The sequence below is a fragment of the Homo sapiens genome, chromosome 11 (assembly GCF_000001405.40).
Source record: "Homo sapiens chromosome 11, GRCh38.p14 Primary Assembly".
Taxonomy (NCBI): Eukaryota; Metazoa; Chordata; class Mammalia; order Primates; family Hominidae; genus Homo; species Homo sapiens.
Genome location: NC_000011.10, coordinates 76479048 through 76504025, shown reverse-complemented (window position 1 = coordinate 76504025; position 24978 = coordinate 76479048). Strand labels below are relative to the sequence as shown.

The 24978-nt window shown below is 40.6% G+C and overlaps 1 protein-coding gene across 50 annotated transcripts in view; it reads right to left on the bottom strand.

Annotated features, from left to right (window-relative positions):
• The window catches only part of EMSY (EMSY transcriptional repressor, BRCA2 interacting), a 108014-nt gene that overhangs the window by 49006 nt on the left and 34030 nt on the right, over positions 1 to 24978 (bottom strand). For all 50 annotated transcript variants that reach the window (XM_047427269.1, NM_001300942.2, XM_047427298.1 and 47 more), the window contains one exon: positions 7557 to 7811. In XM_047427269.1, the coding sequence (XP_047283225.1) occupies positions 7557 to 7811 (255 nt within the window). The remainder of the gene's footprint in view (positions 1 to 7556; positions 7812 to 24978) is intronic.

The following is a 24978-nucleotide window of genomic DNA, read 5'->3' as shown; positions in this document are numbered from 1 at the left end:
TCACTTGAAGTCAGGAGTTTGAGACCAGCTTGGCCAACATGGTGAAAACCCATCTCTACAAAAAAAAAAAAAAATTAGCCGGGCGTGATGGTGCGCGCCTGTAATCCCAGCTACTCGGGAGGCTGAAGCAGGAGAATTGCTTGAACCCAGGAGGCGTAAGTTGCAGTGAGCCAAGACCGTGCCACTACACGCTAGCCTGGGTGACAGAGCAAGACTCCGTCTCAAATAAATAAATAAATTAAATTGAATACAGCAGTTTTTGATATCTAACTTTTCTATTTTCTTTTTGTTGCTCATGCTTTCATTGTTATATCCAAGAATCCTTTGCCAAATCCAGTATGTTAGAGATTTACCCTAAGTTTTTTTCTAAGAGTTTGATAGTTTTACCTCTAAGTGTAAATGTTTGATTCATTTGAGTTAATTTTGTATACGGTGTGATGTAAGGGTCTCACTTCATTCCTTTGCACATATCTATTCATTTGTCCCAACAGAATTTGTTAAAAAGACTATTTTTCCCCCATTGAATGATCTTGGCATCTTTCTCAAAAAGCAGTTGACCATAGTTGTACGGTTTTATTTCTGGACTTTCAATTCTGTTCCATTGATCTATATGTCTTATGCCGGTACCATACTGTTTTGATTACCATTGGTTTGTAGTAAATTTTGAAATCAGGAAGCATTTGAGTCCTCTCCTTCTTCTTCTTTTTTTTTTTTTTTTTTTTTTTGAGACCACGCCTTGCTCTGTCACCCAGGCTAGAGTGCAGTGGTGCAATCTCAGCTCACTGCAACCTCCGCCTCTCAGGTACAAGTGATTCTCCTGCCTCAGCCTCCCGAGTAGCTGGGATTACAGCCATGTACCATCATGGCCAGTTAATTTTTGTATTTTTAGTAGAGACAGGGTTTCACCATGTTGGCCAGTCTGATGTCGAAATCCTGACCTCAGGTGGTCCACCTGCCTCAGCCCCACAAAGTGCTGGAATTACCGGGAGGAGCCACCATGCTGGGGCTCCTGCCTGTGATTTTTACTTCTTTTTTTTAAAGATTGTTTTGGCTAACCATATGGCTATCAAATTCCATATGAATTTTGGAGTTAGCTTGTCAATTTCTACGAAGAAGTCTGCTGAGATTCTGATATAGGTTGCATTGAATCTATAGATTAATTTAAGGAGCACTGTCATCTTAACAATGTTAAATCTTCTGATCTGTGAGCATGGTATGCTTTCCTATTTATTTAGATCTTTAATTTCTTTCAATGTTTTGTAGTTTTCAGAGTATACATTTTGTATTTCTTTTGTTAAATTTATTCCTATTTTGTTCTTTTGGTGCTATTATAAATGGAATTGTTAGTTTCACTTTTTAGATTGTATATTGCTAATTTATAGATTTTTGTGTGTTGACTTTGTATCCCGCAACCTTTCCAAACACGTCTCATTTATTAGTTCTAATATCTTTTAGTAGATTCCTTAGTGGTTTTTTTTGTTTTTTGTTTTTTTTTAATAATATAAAGGATCATGTGATCTGCAAATAGGGGTAGAGTTTCTTCTGTTTCAATCTGGATGCTTTTTTTTTTTTAATAATATAAAGGATCATGTCATCTGCAAATGGGGTAGAGTTTCTTCTGTTTCAATCTGGATGCTTTTTTTAAAAAAAAATAATATAAAGGATCATGTCATCTGTAAACGGGGTAGAGTTTCTTCTGTTTCAATCTGGATGCTTTTTTTTTTTTTTTTTTTTTTTTGCCCATTTTCTCTTACTTGAGCCTCTGGTATAATATGGAATATAAGTGTCAACAGCAGACATCACTGTCTTTTTCCTTATTCTTTCTATTCATAGAACTTCTTTTAGTGTCTCTTGTAAGGTGGGTCTGCTAGCAACACACTCTTGCAGATTTTGTTTATTTGGTAAAGTCTTTCTTCATTTTTGAAAGCTAGCTTTGCTGGATATAGGATTCTTAGTTGGTGGGTTTTTTTTTTTTTTTTTTCATTTCAAATGTGTTATCCAACTGCCTGCTGGCTTCATTGTTTCCACTGGGAAGTCAGCTCTTACGTAACTTTATTGCAATTTCCTTGTAAGTGATATGTTGTTTTTCTCTTGCTGTGTTCAAGATTTTCTTTTTGTCTTTGAATTTCAGCAATTTTACTGAGATGTGTCTGTTTATGATCTTTGTTTATCTTATTTGTAATTTGTTAAGCTTCTTAAACATATGTTACTGCTTTTCAATAAATTTGGAAAAGTTTTCAGCCATTATTTCTTTGAATATTTCTTTTCTTTTCTCTCTTCCCAACTCTCGTACTTCCATTATATGTATGTTGGTGTATTTAATGTCTCACATTTCTCTGAAGCTCTGTTAACTTTTCTTCATTGTTTCTTCTCTTTGTTCTTCAGCTCACATAACCTCTATTGATCGTTTTTCAGATTTGCAAATTCTTTCTTCTGCCAGTTCAGATCTACACGTGAACCCCTCTCGTGCATTTTTTAGTTCAGTGACTTTACTTTTAACCTCCAGATTTTCTGTTTGGCTCTCTTTAAAAACTAATTTCTATCTCTTTATTGATCTTTATTTGATGTAATATTGTCCTCATAGCCTCTTTTACTTCTATAATCATGTTTTTCTTTAGTTCTGTGAACATATTTGTAATGGCTACTTCAAAGTACTTTTCAGTTAAGTCTGACATCTGGTTGCTCTTATAGTTTCTGTTGTTTGTTTGTTTTTCTAATGTATGGGTAATATTTTCCTGTTTCTTTACCTGCCTCCTTATGTCTTTGTTAGAAATTAGACATTTTAGATAATATACATACAGCCCTCTGTAACTTCTACATCTTCAGATTCAAGCAACCATGGATCAAAAATATTTAGGAAAAAGACAACAAAAATAATAATACAACAGTAAAAAATAATACAAGTACAGAAACAATATAGTATAACAGCTACATAGCATTTACATTGTATTAGGTATTATAGGTAATCTAGAGATGATTTAAAGTATACAGGAGGGTGTGCATAGGTTTCATAAATACTACACCATTTTTTATAAAGGACTGGAACATCCACAGATTTGAGTATCAACAGGGTCCTGGAAGCAATCTTCCACGGATACTGAGGGATGACCATGCAGTACCTGGGTACTGGTTTCCCCTCACCAGGGATTTGTTATTGTTATTTGCATAGTTATTTGTTTAGTGATGGGATCAGTTATTTTAGTGAAGTCTTTTTATTCCCTCTCCAGCCCATGCTCCTTCATCTAAGCATCTGATATTATTCCTCATGGAGACACTGCTCTGGGTATACTTACAGTCACTTTGGGATGACAGTGGTATTAGTTTGGCTTTTTTCTATTCTTTCCTTGACGACACCCAGCTGTTAAACTCTATTAACTGCTGGTTGATTACTCTGTTGTTTTCAGGAAAGCTTTGGAGCATACATTACTCTGTAATCCGAATTTTGGCTCCTTTGAAGGAACAGTTTCTGGGGTTCATTTTTGATATTTCTTCTAACCTCATGAAGGCTCTTCCCAGCTTTTATATTATCTGCTTCTTCTCTATAAACTGTCTGCAGTCTAGACTATATGTTCATTACATCCATGAATCTCCTTCTGGTTGCCTTTCACCACTTCCTTCACTGTTCTTGAGAATGCCCTTAGTCTTGAACTTCTCCATGCTCTGGTATAAATGGAGTTAGTTCCTTTGGGAAGAGATTAGGAGCTATCTGTTTTATGAATTATTTCTATCCTTTGGCAAAGTCTCTGAGCCAGTAACATTAAGTATTATATTAACATTAAGTAACATTAAGTATTATATTAAGTAACATTAGATATGGTGAAATCTCCCTTTTTTACTAGAAAGATAAAATTATTTCAAATATAGAGTAATTTGCAGTGAAAAGGTCAAATGTGATAGGCGACATAAGTATTTTTTTTATTGTTTTGGGTTTGGTTTTTTTTTTTTTTTTGAGATAGGCTCTCACTCTGTAGCCCACGCTGGAGTGCAGTGGTTTAATCATAGCTCACTGCAACCTCAAACTTCTGGGCTCAAGCAATCCTCCTGCTCCCTCCCAAGTACCTAGGAGTACAGGCACATGCCACCATTTCTAGCTAATTTTTAAATTTTTTGTAGAGACCAAAAAATGGTCTCTACAAAAGGGCAGAGGTCTTGTTATATTGCCCAGGCTGGTCTCAAACTCCTGGCCTCACATGGCCAACACATGTATACTGTAATACCATAAGCAAACGCTAAGAAAACAGAACAAAACAATATACTTTAAAATAATAAGTCAACATGAAACCCTAAAAATTCTTCAAGTAAACTACAAATAGGCAAGAAAAAAGAAACAAGAAACAAAAGAAACAAACAAAATAAAACGGCACATGTAACCACTACCATATCAACAATTACCTTAAATGTAAATGATCTAAATATATCATTTAAAAGTTAAAGATTGGGGCCGGGCGCAGTGGCTCATGCCTGCAATACCAGCACTTTGGGAGGTGGAGGAGGGCGGATCACGAGGTCAGGAGATTGAGACCATCCTGGATAACACGGTGAAACCCCGTCTCTACTAAAAATACAAAAAATTAGCCGGGTGTGGTGGCAGGCGCCTGTAGTCCCATCTACTTGGGAGGCTGAGGCAGGAGAATGGTGTGAACCCAGAAGGTGGAGCTTGCAGTGAGCCGAGATAGCGCCCCTGCACTCCAGCCTGGGCGACACAGCAAGACTCCATCTCAAAAAAAAAAAAAAAAAAAAAAAAAAAAAAGTTATAAGATTGGTTGGCCAGATGCAGTGGCTCACACCTGTAATCCTAGCACTTTGGAAGGCTGAGGTGGGCGGATCACTTGAGATCAGCATTCGAGACCAGCCTGGCCAGCATGGTAAAACCCTGTCTCTACTAAAAATACAAAAGTTACCTGGGCGTGGTAGTGTGCACCTGTAATCCCAGCTACCTGGGAGACTGAGGCAGGAGACTCGCTTAAACCCAGGAGGCGGAGGTTGCAGTGAGCTGAGATTGTGCCACTGCACTCCAGCCTGGGTGACAAAGCGAGACTCCGTCTCAAAAACAAAAACAAGTTATTGGCAAAGTTGATATAAAAATATATAACTACACTGTATGCTGTCTACAAGAAACTCACTTCAAATACAACAATAAAAGTAGGTTGAAAGTAACAGGATGAGAAAAAAATACACTATGTGAACATGAATAAAAAGAAAATAGGAGTGGCTATATTAATTACAGATAAAGTATACTTTACAAGGCAATAGAACTCACTCCCCTCCAGTCAGTATAGTTCTCTATTACATGCACTAAATATACTAATGCAGGCTAGTTACCATCATTAATTTATATGGCAGACTTTACAAGTTAAATTGGAATTAAATTTTAAGAATGGAAATTTTTTAAAATCAGCCTTTATATTTAAAAAAAATAGAGAATTAATTGCAGAAAAAAAGGAACGCTACATAATGAGACAGGATCAATATACCAGGAAGACACAATGTTTCTAAATATGTATGCATCAAACAATAGATATATCAAAATATAATACATGTAGCAAAAACTGAGATAGCTGTTTTTGCAGTACTAGAATCCAACAATTAGTTGGGGACTTTATTACTTCACTCCCATCAACTAATAGAACTACTATGCAGAAAATTCAGCATAGATATAGGAGAACTGAACAACATAATCAACCAACAGAATCTAGTTGATATACATATATAGAATACTCCACCCAACATCGGCAGCATAGATATTTTACGAGCACCATGGACCACCCACCAAAGTTGAACATATTGTGGGTGAAGAAACAAACCTCAATAAACGTAAAAGAATTGAAATGATACAGTGTGTTCTCAGACCATAATGAAATCAAACTAGAAATCAATAGCAAAACAAACAAACAAACCCAGAAAAATCTCCATTAGAAATTAAGCAACACAATTCTAAATAATCCATGGGTCAAAGAAGAAGTCTTACACAAAAAATTGAATAAAAATGAAAACAGAACATATTAAAATATGTGGAAGGCAGCTAACACAGTGCCGAGAGAAATTTGTGACAAATGTCTTTACATAGATGGAACTAAATGCTAAGTAATTAGAAAAGAGAGTATGTCTTGAATCAATAATCTAAGTTCCCACCTTAAGAAATTAGAAGAGCAAAATAAACCTAAAGAAAGTAGGACAGAAATAATAAAGATAATAAAATTAAAAACAGAAAAGCAAAGGAAAAATCAATGAAACAAAAATCTAGTTCTTAAAAAATTCAATAAATTTTTAAATGCAATAAATAGCAAGTCTGACAAAGAAAGATACAAACCACCAATATCAGAAATGAAACAGGACATTAATATCGATCCTATAGCCATTAAAAGAATAGTAAAGAACTACTACAAGCAAATTTACACTCAAAAATTTGACAACTTAGAAGAAATGGATCAATTCCTCAAAACCATAAACTACCAAAACCAAGATGAAACAGATAATCTGAAAAGTCCCATAACTAATAAAGAAATGGAATTCATCAATTAAAAGCTTCTAAAAACAGAACTCTCCGGGCCCAGATGGCTTCATTGGAGAATTCTACTGAACATTTAAAGAATTAACATCAATCTTACATAGTCTTTTCCAAAAAATAGAAAGGAAATAAATACTTCCAAACTCACCTTATGAGGCCGGTATTATCCTGACCAAAATTGGACAAAGGCAGTATAAAATAAGAATATTACAGACCAAAATGTCTCATGAATAGAGAGACAAATTGAATCCAGCAATGTATTTTTAAAAATTATATATCATGACCAAGTGGGATTTATTTCAAATATGCAAGGCTGGTTTAACAGAAAATCAATCAATATAATCCAGCATATCAATAGACTAAACAAGAAAAAACTTAATTGAACAGAAAAAGCACTTGACAAAATCCAACACTCATTCATGATAAAAACTCCCCAAAAACTAGTAGCAGAAGTGCACTCCGTCTACCTGATAAAGAGCATCTATAAAAAGCCTACAGCTGGTATTGTACTTAATGGTGAAAAACTGAATGTTTTCTCCTTAAGATTAGGAACAAAGCAAGGATGTCCACTTTCCTCACTCTTATTCATTCAGCATAGTATTGGAAGTTCTAGACAATAAAATAAAACACCAAAAAGAAATAAACAGCAATTGATTGGAAAGGAAGAAACAAAACTGTCCCTATTTATAGATGACATAGTTGCATACACAGAAAATCCCAAGGAATCTATGTAAATACTCTGAGAACAAGTGAGTTCAGCAAGGTCAAAGGATACAAGATCAATACTATTTTTATATACTAACAAAAAACATGTAGACATTGAAATTAAAATCATAATACCAATTATAATCACGACAAGAAAATGAAATGCTTAGGTACAAATCTAACAAAACATATACAGAATCTATATGCTGAAAGCTGTAAAACACTGATGAAAAAGTCAAAGACCTAAATAAATGAAGAGACATACCGTGTTCATGGACTGGAAGACTAAAAAAACTGGTGAATAAAGAAGAATTACCATATCTTATAAACATTTTCCAGTTACCTGACTCCTGTTTGATTTGGATGGTAGGTTTAATACCAGGTGGCAAAGGAGACTGCTGAGGCTGTTGCTGATGAGATACTGGAGAAGGCTGGGCCACTTGTTGCTGTGTCTGCTGTTGCACTTGATATAACTGCTGCTTAGGAGACTGTTGATGTTGTTTAGGGAACTGTGCAAGAATCTGAGTTGGGGCACTCACTAAGCTTTTGGGGGAAGGAAGTCTGGTTGATGCCATTTTGATTGCTGATGTAGATACACCTGTAGAAAAGGAGTAAGGGAAAAGAGAATTTGATAGGAAAGCAAAATTAAAGTTACTTCTGGTTATTATAGTAGATAATAGTTTAAAGAATAGGGAAATCAACAAAAAGTACAATTTATTGAGCACCTAGTAAGTGTCAGATAAAATGTGTGGCACCTTACATATCTGATATCTAGTCTTCAAACTCTTCAAGGGAGGTAACCATTGTTCTCAGATTTTAAAAATGAACTGATTTTCCCTTGGTGAAGAGTGAGAATGAAAGAAACAAATTATCAGACAGGATGTTCCCAGACCTGTCTCTTAACAGATTTTCTATTAGAAAATGTAGGTTCTCAATGTGAATAATATAAGAACAAAGCGATTTTATTAATTTTTGAATCTTATTTATATGTTATATATTTTTCAAATATTATTTTTCAGGTTCTAATCAGCCAGTTTAAACATAGTATCCTTGAAATAACTCACATTCATCTTTTGAACAAGATAATTCCCTTTTCTCTGAGAATGGTGAAGAGGAAAAAAAATTTTAATAAAAACAGAAAAAGTCATTTCCTAAGAACTCTGAATCATTAAATAATCATATGAAAAGTTGTAAATGGGCATACTCAACATATCCACAGCAAAAAGATTCTGATTATATGAGGTTCTTTTCAGTGGGATTCTAATATTAGCAAGCACACATAGGTAAGGAGTACTAGTAACTTTCACTAAAGATGTATGAGTTTCAGATATTCTTCCCTCTCGCAGGTTTTTCATCTGTAATTTTTCTGAATTCATCAACTATCTAAAAGGACTATTATCTATCAATAAGTTAATATTCCTAACTGAGAGAACCTGGAATATAACTCATCATATTAACTTTTTAAGCACTGCTGATACAATAAAAAGAAACTAATAGCCTAATTCTCAAGTACTTAGGATGTTTTTTCACACCTTTCTCTACCACATCCTCACCATGACAAATACACTGTATTACAGAAAAGGTTTTAAATAATATCACGTTCTTATGTAAAATGTCTCTAGAGAATGATAAAGATGGAGGATAAAACTTGAGAAGTCGCTATGACTCTCTAGACCTCAGCATCCTCACTTGTTGAATTTTTCCTTGCCCTGTGTCTCTAAGAGCTGTTGTGCAGATCAAGATCAATCACAGACTGAGGGACACTTTGAGACAAGAAGGCCGGGCACAGTGGCTCACGCCTGTAATCCCAACACTTTGGGAGGCTGAGGCAGGCGTATCACCTGAAGTCAGGAGTTTAAGACCAGCCTGGCCAACATAGTGAAACCCCATCTCTACTAAAAATACAAAAATTAGCCGGGCACGGTGGCAGGCACCTGTAATCCCAGCTACTCGGGAAGGTGAGGCAGGAGAATCTCTTGAACCTGGGAAGCAGAGGTTGCAGTGAACCGAGATGGCATTACTGCACTCCAGCCTGGGCGACAGAAGAAAAGGAAAGGAAGGAAAGGAAGGAAGGAAAGGAAGGAAGGAAGGAAGGAAGGAAGGAAGGAAGGAAGGAAGGAAGGAAGGAAGGAAGGAAGGAAGGAAGGAAGGAAGGAAGGAAGGGAAAGGAAAGGAGAGGAAGGCAGGCAGGCAGGCAAGGTAGTCAGAATCACCTGGAAGGCTTACTTCCATTACTTACATAGTTCCCCACTCCTTCCTGAATACTAGTAACATGTATGTTCTGTATTGCTTGGTTGTGCTGAACTAGACTATCTCTGGAGCCTCTTTCAGTGCCAACATTTTATGACTCAATGAGTATAAAGTTATCCAAGTGAAAGATATTTTTATACTACCTAAAGCATTAAACTTTATATGGCACTCATAATGTATGGTCTTATATTAAATGAAGATAATCATGTACATGGGTAACTCCCTAACTAAACTATTGTCACGGGATCTCTGGGGTGTCACTTCACCAGCCAGAAACGTCTGTGGCCGGCGGCACCTTCTACCTGAGTATTGCTTGCCCACTGGGCTCATTCTGTCCACTTGTCCCTGCAGGCGGTGCTTGGCTCGTGCTACCGGCCCGGATCCCACACCTGTCAACAGTGAGCCAGGCACAGATGCCAGCTGCTGCAGTGGGGCGGGCAGCTCCAGGCACTGGCAGAGATGCCAAGCTCCATGCGAGGCTGCGGCTGGACCAGATGTACCGCACACAGCTTCTGCTGCGGGCATCCGCATCTGAACGAGAACACAGTGGCGCCCGAAAGCTTGGAGACACCAGAACCACAGAGTCCCAAAGAGGGTGTCAGAGCCCAGGCTTGGGGAGCCCCTAGGTCTGGGCTCCCCCAAGGGCTGCAGCTCTTCTCTCCTGTCACTGGTAACATGGGGAGCAGGGGAACATGTTTCAGCCCTGTTTGTGTTACAGCTCTTTCAGTCCCGGCATTTGGCGGGTCTCCAGTTCTTGTCTCGCATCCAGGAAGAATGAAGTACTCGGACAACTGGATGGTAAGCAAGGCGGAGAGGAGCTTCACTGAGCAACAGAACAGCTCTCAAGAGATCCGAAGCGAGTAGCTCCTTTCTACAAGAAGGTCTCCTGAACGAGTGTTCAGCTTTCAGCTGAGAGAAGACCCACAGTGGGTAGCTCCTTTCCACAGGCAGATCTTCCCCACGTCTGTTGGAGTCTGGCTGTGTCAGGGGTTTTCATGGGTTCAGAAGGGAGAAAGTGCATGCTAATTGGTCCATGGGCGGCCAATGGACCGGAAAAAGCCCTGTAACTTCTCACTCCAGTCTCGACTCCACCTGGAACTGACAGCCCAGACCCCATGCTTCAGGCCATCCCTGGTTTGAGGGTGGGACCTCACCGGGACCCACCCCTTTGCACTCACGAGCCTGTCTGCCTCCTGCTGCCATCAATCACAGAGCCCAGGCTGTTCGGGGAAGGGGCGCCTGCAGGCCCTTATCAACCCACCCTCGACCCCCTTTGGCCTCCTTCCCGTGCTCATTGGCACCCAAAGTCTGGGGGTGGGGGCGGTTCAGGCGGCAGGGGGCTGGCACGTCAGTGCCACCCCAAGTGGTGTGCACCCAGCTGGGTGGCAACAGCACCCAGGCTAGGCCTCAACTTTGCTCTGAAACCGGAGCAGACAGCAGGAGCGGGGAGAGGCCAGGCAGCAGGAGCAGGCACTTCGGAGACTGCAAGGGAAGGGGGGGCTTCCCTGGCCCCTGAGAGCACACGGATGCCCAGGTCTGCGTGGGGAGGAGACCCACAGCGGGTAGCTCCTTTCCACAGGCAGGTTTTCCCCAGTCTGTTGGAGTCTGGCTAAGTCCAGGGTTTTCATGGGCTCAGCAGGGAGGAAGTGCATGCTGATTGGTTCATGGGTGGCCACAGGCGGGCCAGAAAAAGCCCTGTTAACTTCTCACTCCACCTGAGTGTGTGCTAGGTAGCTCACACTCATGGAAGCCCACTTTATCCCACACTTAGGTTCTAAGTCTGAGGACTTCACCTGGAGTCCACTGCACCCACTGGAGCTGCACCCAGGAGGGCGGGGCTCCTGCCCTGCCAACTCAGAAGAGAGTAGGGTTCCTATCTGTTCCTGGCTCCCTGCGGGCTCTGTGGAATGGGCAGCCCTGGCGATGCCTCCCCCACTGCAGCATCTCTGCAGCAGCTACCAGATGGGCCACCGCTGCCATCACTGTGATTTCCACATACTTTTGTACAGGAAAAGTATCTGATGTGAAAGCATTCAGGATGCTTGTATTTATTTTTGTAATCAGAGAATTGTATTTATTTATTTATTTATGAGATGGAGTCTCGCTCTGTGGCCCAGGCTGGAGTGCAGTGGCGTGATCTCAACTCACTGCAACCTCTGCCTCCCGGTTCAAGCGATTCTCCTGCCTCAGACTCCCGATCAGCTGGGATTAGAGGCACGCACCACCATGCATGGCTAATTTTTGTATTTTTAGTCGAGTAGAGGTTTCACCATGTTGGCCAGGCTGCTCTCAAACTCCTGACCTCAAGTGATCCACTGGTCTTGGCCTCCCAAAGTGCTGGGATTATAGGCATGAGCCACTGCGCCCAGCCAGAAGTGTATTTAAATCCATGTCTTCAACACATAAAAACATAATAGCTGTATGACCTGATTAAAGTACTTAATCTTTCTGAATATTTATTTATTCAATAAAAACTTGAGTACATACTTTATGCTAGATCCTGGGGAAACTATTTGGTATCCATGGAACAGTCCCTACCCTGAGAAAGGTCAGAGAAGACAATCAAATGATCACACGAGTCTATCATTACAAACTAATAAATGTTTCGTGTTAACAACTACAAGGTCTTCTTCCTCTTCCATCCCCCTTAGCTACCCAAACAATTCCATACAAAAGCCATCTGGTGGTATAAAGCAGGATGGACAGCTAGGCAGCTAAGCAGAAGAGTAGTCTAGCATGAGGTGACAGAGTTCACTCTGGAGACTGGCTTACCATGGGAGCCAGAGTAGGAGGAGGAGAGCATCTACACTGAGAAGAGTTCACGGGATAACCCAGCATGTAAAGTTAGAACCTAAGTGGGATAAAGTGGGCTTCCACGGTGTGAGCTACCTAGCGCAGGATCTCAAAGCTTCAGCAGGGTATCCGTAGGAAACGGTGGCTAGGGTGAGTACAGAGTCCAAACTGGGTGAGGGCTTCTGCCTAGGAGGGCCACCTGGCCCTGGCATGGCTGTCAGAGCTGACCAGGTTGAGATAGGCATCCATGCAAAGGGGTAGCTGAGGGAAGGTGTCAGAACTCAGGCGGGGCTGGACACAGTGGCTCATGCCTATAATCTCAGCACTTTGGGAGGCTAGGCAGGAGGACCACTTGAGGTCAGGAGTTCAAGAGCACCCTGGTCAACATAGCAAGACCCTGTCTCTACAAACAAAAAACAAAAAAAGCCGGGCATGGCAGCACACACCTGTAGTCCCAGCTACTCAGGAGGCTGAGGTAGGAGGATCCCTTGAGCATAGGAGTTAGAGACTACAGTGAGCCATGATCATGCCACTATACTCCAGCTTAGGTGCCAGAGTAAGACCCCTATCTCTTAAAAAAAAAAAAAAAAAAGAAAAAAGAAGAAGAAATCAGCTGAGCTGAGGTAAGAGTATGCAGATGTCAGAGCCTGAAAGGAATGAGGACAGCACCTGCACAGGGGAGGAGGCAACAACAGCATAGGGGAGGAGCAACTATTATTTGGTTACATATCAGGAAACTGATATATAAGTATATTCGAGATAATAGAAGTTAGGTTTTTCACTATCAGAGAGAGAGGAAACAAGTTAACATGCAATGTTTGATTGAAATTGGATGTATCACTATGAACTCAGCTTTTAATATATGAAAATACAGATGTACATGTGTTTACACACACACACACACACACACACACCCCCTAGCAATGAACATATCCAGAACCCAGATCTTAGCTTCTAATTATTACTTTCTACTATAAGAAACCAAGACTTCTTGAAAAAATGACTGATTCCAAGGCTGGAATAGGAAAAGTATAAGATGAACCTGGTACACCTAAAAGACATGTTTTCCCCTCTTTTGTAATTTCTTTAAAAGAAAATCACCAGTTTGAAGCAAAAAGATTAACAAGGCAATGTGAAGTTTATAAATACATATAGAATTAAAGTGTATGACAACCATAGCACAAGGAAGGGAGAGAGGAAATAGAAGTACTCTTTTAAGATTCTAACACAATACATGAAATAGTATATTATTTCAAGGTAGACTGTTATAAATTGAAAATGCATACTGTAAGCTCTAAAGCTAGATTCTCAACCAATAGTAATTTTTCCGCCTCTCGTCATCCCACAGGATATCTGACAATCACTGGAGACATTTTTTATTTTCATAACAGGGGTCGGGGGGCATATGCTACTGGCACCTAGTGGATAGTCAGGTTTATAATGCACAGGTCAACTTCAAGAACAAAAAATTATCTGGTCAAGAATGTCAACAATGTGGAGGTTGAGAACCCTACTCTAGAGCAACTATTTTTTTTTAAGTGTAGCTACCGAGTCGAGGAAATAAAATGGAATCCTTAAAAAAAAAATCAATAAAAATAAATAAATAAAAGAAGACTGGAAAAGAGACCAAAAGGAACAAGGAACATATGAGACAAATAAAAACAATTGTCAAGATGACAGACTTAAACTCAATCCTACCGATAATTAATATTAAATGTAAATGGACTACACCTTCCAATTAAAGGTCAGAGATTATCAGACTGAGAGAAAAGACCTAACTATACAATGTTCATAAGAGATATATTTTAAATACAAAGGCACAGATGGGTTAAGAATACAATAATGAAAAAAAGATACATCAAGTAGGCCGGGCACGGTGGCTTGTGCCTTTAATCCCAGCACTTTGGGAGGCCGAGGTGGATGGATCACCAGAGGTCAGAAGTTTGAGACCAGCCTGGCCAACATGGTGAGACGCTGACTCTACTAAAAATACAAAAATTAGTCAGGCGTGGTGGTGCACGCCCATAATCTGAGCTACTCAGGAGGCTGAGGCAGGAGAATCGCTGGAACCTAGGAGGTGGAGGTTGCAGTGAGCCAAAATCACGCCACTGTACTCCAGCCTGGGCGATAGAGCAAGACTCCATCTCAAAAAAAAAAAAAAGATACATCAAGCAAACAGTAATCATAAGAAAGTTGGAGTGGCTATATTAACATCAGAAAAGACAGACATGGAAACACTGGTGATAACATCAAGGGTTACCAGAGATAAAAAGGAATGGTTCATAATGAAAAGGGGGTTAATCCATCAAGAAGACACAATAATCCTAAGTGTGTGTGTATAAAAACTGACAGAATTAAAGGGAGAAATGTACAAAGCCACAAATATAGCTACAGACTTTTACACTTCCCTTTCAGTAACTGACATAACAAGTAGACCAAAAAAAAAAAAAAAAAGAAAACAAGAAGAATCTGATCAAGTCCATCAACCAAGTAACATGGACATGCACAGAACCAAATGAAAAGTCAATTATTCTAAAACCATTTATTAAATAATCGAATGCAGCATACACTCTTGGTTGCCTGTCCTAATTTCCTTTCTCCTCTGCCCTCCTCTTTTCTAATAGAATCTGTTGTCTTTCCTGAAGAATCCACAAGGCATTGGCATGTACTTTCAGAGGGCTGGCCCTAAGCCAGCCATACAGGCAATTCCTAATTGATCTAAGCCAGTCATGGTGGCCCCATTACTTTTGCAAAGAACTAGTTTAGGTAGGACATATGACACAGTTGTGGCCAGCATAATATAAGGAGAATCTCATGGAAGACTTCTAGGAAAGATTTTTTCTTTCCTAAGACAGACCCACAGAAGGGGATTCTCTCTTTTTTCTCTGACATTGTCACAGCTAGATGTAGAACCTGAAATGTACTCAACTTGCCCAGGATGAGAATTACCCAAGAAAAAAGCCCCAAGAGTTACCCAAGAATTACCAAGAAAAGCAAAGAGAAAGGTGAAAAGAAATTCCTTGATGGCTCAAATGAGCTAATGCCTAACTTGAGCCTCCCTTCTGGACTTCTGGTTTTGTGAGATAATAAATTTTATTGTGAAAAACCAATCACTTGATCAATGCAGATTTATGTAAAGATATTCATTCAATCACATCGTATTTTGCAAGTAAGTTTGGATATTAACAATCCATATAAGAATCTCCAGATCCAGCTAAAAAATAAAAAAAAAAACAAAAAAAAAATAGCATAAATAATCCATGGGCTCTGTAACAATAACTTTATTAAACTTTGTTTTTGTTTTTGAGACAGTCTTCTTTTAATGCCCAGGCTAGAGTGCAGTGGCACAATCATAGCTCAATGCAGCCTCCAAATCCTGGGCTCAAGCAATCCTCCTGACTCAGGCTTCCCGAGTAGCTACGATTACAGGTGTACACCACCACGCCTGGCTAATTTTTGCATTTTTTGTAGAGATGAGGTCATGCTACGTTGCCCAGGCTGATGTTGAACTCCTAGCTTCAAACAACCCTCCCTCTTTGGCCTCCCAAAGTGTTGGGATTACAGGCATGAGCCAATGCACTCAGCCTAAATTTATGAAACATTTAAATACACACAAAAAAATGGGCTACTGTGAATATCACTGAAACAAAGACATTAATCCATGTTTGGAAGAACTGTAGTTCAGGCTACATTGGTAATTTTGAATAAATATGAAATACTCAGAGTTTTTAACACGAGCCTTAGAGAAATATGAAGTTCAAAGAACATTTTTTAAAAAGTCATGTAAGTGAAGGGGAAAGATAATGCATAAATGTTAAAAACATTACCTGTGTTTTGTGTCATACTCATAGATATTAAAGAAAAAAATCAGGTGTAAAATGATATAAAGTTTGAGTATCACTTATCCAAAATCTTTGGGATCATAAGTGTTTCATATTTTGAATCTTTTCCAGATTTGGGAATATCTCCATAGGCATAACGAGGTACCTCGGGGATGTGACCCAAGTCGAAACATGAAATTCATTTGTTTCACATAAACCTTATACACAGCCTGAAGATAAACTTTATAAAATATTTTAAATAATTTTGTGCAAAGTTTGTATACACTGAACCATCAGAAAGCAAAGGTGTCACTATCTTGGGCACCCATGTGGACGATCTGCGGTTGTTAGGTATCACCACCATTCCTAACTCTGAACTTGTATGCTACTGATAAGCAATTATTTTCTTACACTTACTTACACATAAGTATCTAACAGTAAAAAATATTACCTACTACTGATACCGTTAAAAAATAATATGTTCTGGGTAACCTAGCAGCACAGTAGTATCACCAGAATACTTGTATCAGCTGTTAAACAAGAGCAAGAACAAATGAAGACAGGCTTTCAGTCTATACCTATGATATTGTGTTTTGATTAAAAGGCTACTGTATCCTGTTTTTTGTTTCTGTGTTTGTTTTTAGGTAATAAGAAGCATCAGAAGCAGATGAGAGACCAGGAGACTCTGTCGCCCAGGCTGCAGTGCAGTGGCACCATCTCAGCTCACTGCAAGCTCCGCCTCCCGGGTTCATGCCATTCTCCTGCCTCAGCCTCCTGAGTAGCTGGGACTACAGGCGCCCACCACCAGGCCCAGCTAATTTTTTGTATTTTGTTTAGTAGAGACAGGTTTTCACCGTGTTAGCCAGGATGGTCTCGATCTCCTGGTCTAGTGATCCGCCTGCCTCAGCCTCCCAAAGTGCTGGGATTACAGGCGTGAGCCACTGCACCCAGCCTCATCTGTCTTATTAACAACAGTTTTTGCTTTAGAATTTTCTCTCTGATTGTATAAACTGACATGATTTGTTATTCTGTTATAAATGAACACTGCTCTAGTCCTTCAGTAAGATCATCACACATTTTCACCATGTCATGTATAGGACTTTTTTCTGCAGTGTTAATGTCATCTTCATCATCACTATTATGACCACCTTGATTCAGAACCATTTTGGCTATTTCACTATCAGTCAACTGGAGTAACTGGAGCCTCATTATGGACGTTAAAAACTTCTTAAATATCCACTTCACCCACCTTCCAGACAGACTCTGAAGGTATATTTTTTTGCAAATGTAAGGAGGAGAGGTCAGAGATCATTTTTTTCTCATTTGACATACAAGATCCTTCAAAGTCACTACTTTGATCATCATCACTAAACATAGTCCCAGGCCAGAGGTTGTGCCAGACATGCACAACTGTGTCTTTAGATACTATGTTCCAAGCATTGGCAACAGCATATACGGCATCCGTCATGTTAAACTCTTTTTGAAAATCATCCACACTCATGCCTCTGTTCACTGCTGTTAGTATGCTGTTCAAGAAAGCATTTTTTTATTATATTTTAAGTTCTGGGATAGATGTGCAGAACATGCAGGTTTGTCACATAAGTATACACGTGCCATGGTGCTTTGCTGCACCCAACAACCTGTCATCTACCTTAGTTATTTCTCCTAATGCTATCCCTCCCCTTGCCCCCCACCCGCCAACAGGCCCCAGCGTGTGATGTTCCCCTCCCTGTGTCCATGTGTTCTCATTGTTCAACTCCCACTTATGAGTGAGAATATTTGGTGTTTGGTTTTCTGTTCCTGTGTTAGTTTGCCAAGAATGATGGTTTCCAGCTTCATGCATGTCCCCGCAAAGGACATGAAATCATCCTCTTTTATGGCTGCGTAGTATTCCATGGTGTATACGTGCCACACTTTCTTTACCCAGTCTACCACTGATGGGCATTTGGGTTGGTTCCAAGTCTTTGCTATTGTGAACAGGGCTGCAATAAACATACATGTGCATGTGTCTTTATAGTAGCATGATGTATAATCCTTTGGGTATATGCCCAGTAATGGGATTGCTGGGTCAAATGGTATTTCTGGTTCTAGATACTTGAAGAATCGCCACACCATCTTCCACAATCATTGAACTAATTTATACTCCCACCAACAGTGTAAAAGTGTTCCAATTTCTCCACATGGACTTCCTCTCTTCCTATTTGAATACCCTTTATTGAATACCCTTTATTTCTTTCTCTTGCCTGATTGCCCTGGCCAGAACTTCCAATACTATGTTGAATAGGAGTGGTGAGAGAGGGCATTCTTGTCTTGTACCAGTTTTCAAAGGGAATGCTTCCAGCTTTTGCCCATTCAGTATGATATTGGCTGTGGGTTTGTGATAAATAGCTCTTATTATTTTGAGGTACGTTCCATCAATACCTAGTTTATTGAGAGTTTCAAGCATGAAGGGGTGTTGAATTTTGTCAAAGGCCTTTTCTGTATCTATTGAGATAAGCATGTGGTTTTTGTCATTGGCTCTGTTTATGTGATGGATTATGTTTATTGATTTGCATACGTTGAACCAGCCTTGCATCCCAGGGATGAAGCCAGTTTGATCGTGGTGGATAAGCTTTTTGATGTGCTGCTGGATTCAGTTTCCCAGGATTTTATTGAGGATTTTTTCATTGATGTTCATCAGGGATATTGGCCTGAAATTTTCTTGTTGTTGTGTCTCTGCTGGGTTTTGGTATCAGAATGATGCTGGCCTCATAAAATGAGTTAGGAAGGAGTCTCTCTTTTTCTATTGCTTGGAATAGTTTCATAAGGAATGGTAGCAGCTCCTCTTTGTACCTCTGGTAGAATTCAGCTGTGAATCCATCTGGTCCCGGGCTTTTTTTGTTGGTAGACTATTAATTACTGCCTCAATTTCACAACTTGTTATTGATCTATTCAGGGATTTGACTTCTTCCTGGTTTAGTCCTGGGAGGGTGTATGTGTCCAGGAATTTATCCATTTCTTCTAGGTTTTTTTTTTTTTTTGAGATGGAGTTTTGCTCTTGTTACCCAGGCTGGGTGTGCAATGGCGCAATCTCCACTACCTCCACCTCCCAGGTTCAAGCAATTCTCCTGCCTCAGCCTCCCGAGTAGCAGGGATTACAGGCATGTGCCACCATGCCTGGCTAATTTTTTGTATTTTTAGTAGAGATGGGGTTTCTCCATGTTGGTCAGGCTGGTCTCGAACTCCCGACCTCAGGGGATCTGCCTGCCTTGGCCTCCCAAAGTGCAGGTTACAGGCATGAGCCACTGCGCCTGGCCTTCTAGATTTTCTAGTTTATTTGCGTAGAGGTGTTTATAGTATTCTCTGATAGTAGTTCGTATTTCTGTGGGATCAGTGGTAATATTCTCTTTATCATTTTTTATTGTGTCTATTTGATTCTTCTCTCTTTTCTTCTTTATTAGACTGGCTAGCAGTCTTTCTATCTTGTTAATCCTTTCAAAAAACCAGCTCCTGGATTCACTGATTTTTTGAAGGGTTTTTCGTATCTCTATCTCCTTCAGTTCTGCTCTGATCTTAGTTATTTCTTGACTTCTGCTAGCTTTTGAATGTGTTTGCTCTTGCTTCTCTAGTTCTTTTAATTGTGATGTTAGGGTGTCAATTTTAGATCTTTCCTGCTTTCTCCTGTGGACATTTAGTGCTATAAATTTCCCTCTAAACACTGCTTTAACCTGTGTCCCAGAGATTCTGGTACATTGTGTCTTTGTTCTCATTGGTTTCAAAGAAGTTATTTATTTCTGCCTTAATTTCGTTATTTACCCAGTAGTCATTCAGGAGCAGGTTGTTCAGTTTCCATGTAGTTGTGCAGGTTTGAGTGAGTTTCTTAATCCTGAGTTATAATTTGATTGCCCCGTGGTCTGAGAGACTGTTTGTTATGATTTCTGTTCTTTTGCATTTGCTGAGAAGTGTTTTACTTCCAATTATGTGGTCAGTTTTAGAATAAGTGTGATGTGGTGCTGAGAAGAATGTATATTCTGTTGATTTGGGGTGGAGAGTTCTGTAGATGTCTATTAGGTCCACTTGGTCCAAGGCTGAGTTCAAGTCCTGAATATCCTTGTTAATTTTCTGTCTCGTTGATCTTTCTAATATTGACAGTGGGGTGTTAAAGTCTCCCACTATTATTGTGTGGGAGTCTAAGTCTCTTTGTAGGTCTCTAAGAACTTGCTTTATTAATCTGGGTGCTCCTGTATTGGGTGCATATATATTTAGGATAGTTAGCTCTTCTTGTTGCATTGATCTCTTTACCATTATGTAATGCCCTTGTCTTCTTTGATCTTTGTTGGTTTAAAGTCTGTTTTATCAGATACTAGGATTGCAATCCTTGCTTTTTTTTGCTTTCCATTTGCTTGGTAAATATTCCTCCATCCCTTTATTTTGAGCCTATGTGTGTCTTTCACATGAGATGGGTCTCCTGAATACAGCACACCGATGGGTCTTGACTCTCTATCCAATTTACTAGTCTGTGTTTTTTAATTGGGGCATTTAGCCTGTTTACATTTAAGGTTAATATTGTTATGTGTGAATCTGATCCTGTCATTATGATGCCAGCTGGTTATTTTGTCCATTAGTTGATACAGTTTCTTCATAGTGTCAATGGTCTTTACAATTTGGTATGTTTTTGCAGTGGCTGGTACTGGTTTTTCCTTTCCATGTTTAGTGCTTCCTTCAGGAGTTCTTGTAAGGCAGGCCTGGTGGTGACAAAAATCTCTCAGCATTTGCTTGTCTGTGAAGGATTTTATTTCTCCTTCACTTATGAAGCTTAGTTTAGCTGGATATGAAATTCTGGGTTGAAAATTCTTTTCTTTAAGAATGTTCAATTTTGGCCACCACTCTCTTCTGGCTTGTAGGGTTTCTGCAGAGAGATCCGCTGTTAGTCTGATGGGCTTCCCTTTGTGGGTAACCCTACCTTTCTCTCTGGCTGCCCTTAACATTTTTTCCTTCATTCCAACCTTGGTGAATCTGACGATTATGTGTCTTGGGGTTGCTCTTCTCGAGGAGTATCTTTGTGGTGTTCTTTGTATTTCCTGAATTTGAATGTTGGCCTGTCTTGCTAGGTTGGGGAAGTTCTCCTGGATAATATGCTGAAGAGTGTTTCCCAACTTGATTCCATTCTCCCTGTCACTTTCAGGTAAACCAATCAAACGCAGGTTTGGTCTTTTCACATAGTCCCATATTTCTTGGAGGCTTTGTTCATTCCTTTTCATCCTTTTTTTCTCTAATCTTGTCTTCACACTTCATTTCATTACGTTGATCTTCAATCTCTGATATCCTTTCTCCTGCTTAGTTGATTCAGCTATTGATACTTGTGTATGCTTCACAAAGTTCTTGTGCTGTGTTTTTCAGCTCCATCAAGTCATTTATGTTTTTCTCTAAACTAATTATTCTAATTAGCAATTCCCCTAACCTCTTTTCAAGGGTCTTAGCTTCCTTGCATTGGTTAGAACATGTTCCCTTAGCTCGGGGAGGTTTGTTAATATCCACCTTCTGAAGCCTACTTCTGTCAATTCATCAAACTCATTCTCTGTCCAGTTTTGTTCCCTTGCTGGCAAGGAGTTATGATCCTTTGGAGGAGAAGAGGCATTCTGGTTTTTGGAATTTTCAGCCTTTCTGCGCTGGTTTTTCCTCATCTTCATGGATTTATCTACCTTTGGTCTTTGATGTTGGTGACTTTTAGATGGGGTTTCTGTGTGGACATCCTTTTTGCTGATGTTGATGCTATTCCTTTCTGCTTGTTAGTTTTCCTTCTAACACTCAGGCCCTTCTGCTGCAGGTCTGCTGGAGTTTGCTGGAGGTCCACTCCAGACCCTGTTTGCCTGGGTATCACCAGTGGAGGCTGCAGAACAGCAAAGATTGCTGCCTGTTCCTTCCCCTGGAGGCTTTGTCCCAGAGGGGCACCTGCCAGATGCCAGCCAGAGCTCTCCTGTATGAGGTGTCTATCAACCCCTACTGGGAGGTGTCTCCCAGTCAGGAGGCATGGAGGTCAGGAACCCACTTGAGGAGGCAGTCTGTCCCTTAGCAGAGCTCAAATGTTGTGCTGGGAGATCTGCTGCTCTCTTCAGAGCTGGCAGGCAGGAACGTTTAACTCTGCTGAAGCTGTGCCCACAGCCGCCCCTTCCCCCAGGTGCTCTGTCCCAGGGAGATGGGTGTTTTACCTATAAGCCCCTGACTGGGGCTGCTGCCTTTCTTTCAGAGATGCCCTGCCCAGAGAGGAGGAATCTAGAGAGGCAGTCTGGCTACAGCAGCTTTGATGAGCTGCAGTGGGCTCCGCCCAGTTCGAACTTCCTGGTGGCTTTCTTTATACTCTGAGGGGAAAAACCACCTACTCAAGCCTAAGTAATGGTGGATACCCCTCCCCCCACCAAGCTTGAGCATCCCAGGTTAACTTCAGACTGCTGTGCTGGCAGCGAGAATTTCAAGCCAGTTGATCTTAGCTTGCTGGCGTCCATGGGGTTGGGATTTGCTGAGCTAGACCACCTGGCTCCCTGGCTTCAGCTCCCTTTCCAGGGGAGTGAATGGTTCTGTCTCGCTGGTGTTCCAGGTGCCACTAGGGTATGAAAAACAAAAACTCCTGGCCGGGCGTGGTGGCTCATGCCTGTAATACCAGCACTTTGGAAGGCCAAGGTGGGCGGATCATAAGGTCAGGAGATCGAGACCATCCTGGCTAACATGATGAAACCCCGTCTCTACTAAAAATACAAAAAATTAGCTGGGCGTGGTGGCGGGCGCCTGTAGTCCCAGCTATTCGAGAGGCTGAGGCAGGAGAATGGTGTGAACCCGGGAGGCAGAGCTTGCAGTGAGCCGAGATAGCGCCATGGCACTCCAGCCTGGGCAACAAAGAAAGACTCTGTCTCAAAAACAAAACAAATCAAAACAAAACAAAACAAAAAGACCTCCTGCAGCTAGCTCGGTGTCTGCCCAAACGGCCACCCAGTTTTGTGCTTCAAACCTAGGGCCCTGGTGGCATAGGCACCCGAAGGAATCTCCTGGTCTGTGGGTTGCAAAGACCATGGGAAAAGCATAGTATCTGGGCCTGAATGCACTGTCCCTCACAGCAGGGTCCCTCATGGCTTCCCTTGGCTAGGGGAGGGAGTTTCCCAACCCCTTGTGCTTCCTGGGTGAGGCAACACCCCACCCTGCTTTGGCTCACCCTCCATGGGCTACACCCACTGTCTAACCAGTCCCAGTGAGATAAGCCAGGTACCTCAGTTGGAAATGCAGAAATCACCTGCCTTCTGTGTTGATCTCGCTGGGAGCTGCAGACCAGAGCTGTTCCTATTCGGCTACCTTGCCAGCAACTCCCCCAAGAAAGCATTTTTATATTAACTCTTCACTGGTCTAAGGATACCTTGGCCGCATGGCTGAATTAATAAAGTCACACTGGGGGAAAGTACATGGCATAAACATTATTTTTGAGGAGAATTTCAACTGGAAGATGAGAACAGTCATCAAGAAATAAAATCTTGCCATCGTTGCACAGTCCAGCTGCCCTGCAGTGAGCACAAGCTGCTGGTACAAGATGTTTGGAAACCAATCAGAAAAGATATCCCTAGTAATACATGCTTTTTTGTTACCATAATAACAGACTGGTAAGAAATTCACTCCTTAAAAACAGCAAGAATGCAAGCTTTTGCCCATCACAGCACTTATGAGTGCCTCCTACATTACCACATCCCATCCCAGTTATTCTGTCCTTGGCATCCTTAATTCCTGTATTAGCTGTCTCATCTGCTATAGCCAGTGTCTTTCTGGGGCATTAACACCAAAACAGTGATGTTTCATCAGCATTACTGACTTGTTCTGGCATAAGATAGTTACCAGCGGTGACTTTGACAAACTTGTCAATGAACTTCTTGCTGCTTCATCATCAACAAATGCTTTATCACCACAAATTTTTAAAACTGTAATGTCGTGTCTCCTCTTAAATTTCTGCAAATGGCCTGTTGAATATTCACAGCTTCCTTCAATTTTTAGTTCATCATGATAGATCTTTGCTTGTTTCATGACCAGTATTACCATTAAGTGACATGAGTTCACTCCAATGCTGATGGATCCACTTTTTCAATACGTGATCGAAATCTTCATTTTTAGCTTTGTGCAGTGTATTTCTATTTTTCATTAACTTCTGTTCACGATTTCAGCACAGAATTTCAATAGCTTATCCTTTTGTTTCTTCAGGTCATATACGGTAGTCATTCCAACACCATACTCTTCTGCAACACACTGCACACTTAACACCACTGTCCAGTTTCTCCAACAGCTTGTCTTTCTGTGCTATAGATAAACATAAGTGCTTCTTTGTGTCCTTGTCACTATTACCCCTCAGGGGTATCTGCAGGCCTTTTGGACATTTTCAACATCTTTACACCACAGAACAGAAAATAAGCAAAAAAACACAGTAAGTGATGCACATAGGTCTTGGCCCCATGTGGGGCATTGCGGGGAACCTGTTATTGGCGCATCCAGCCTGCATACATGCCATTTTATTACCCTCTGTGGAAGTGCTTGTGTGAGGGGAATCTGGGTGTACAAGGAAAAGATATATCACTGCTACAGAAGGCAGAAGGAGTCTTTTTTCCCTTGGGAACGCTGAATAAACTGTGTGGTGTGCACCTGTGTTTTAATTACAATTTACCACATGAAGTCAGGTGTGGAATTGTCCACTTGTGGCATCAGCTGGCACTCAGAAAGCTTCAGATTTTAGAGCATTTCAGATTTCAGATTTTCGGATTAGGGATGATCAAACTGTACTGGTTAAGCAGTATGCTACTCAATTTTTCTTTAATCGCCAAAATTATTCCCTCTGCCCCATTTTTTTTTTAAAACAAGAAGAATAAGGACTTAATAGTGGCCAGATACTAATGAAAT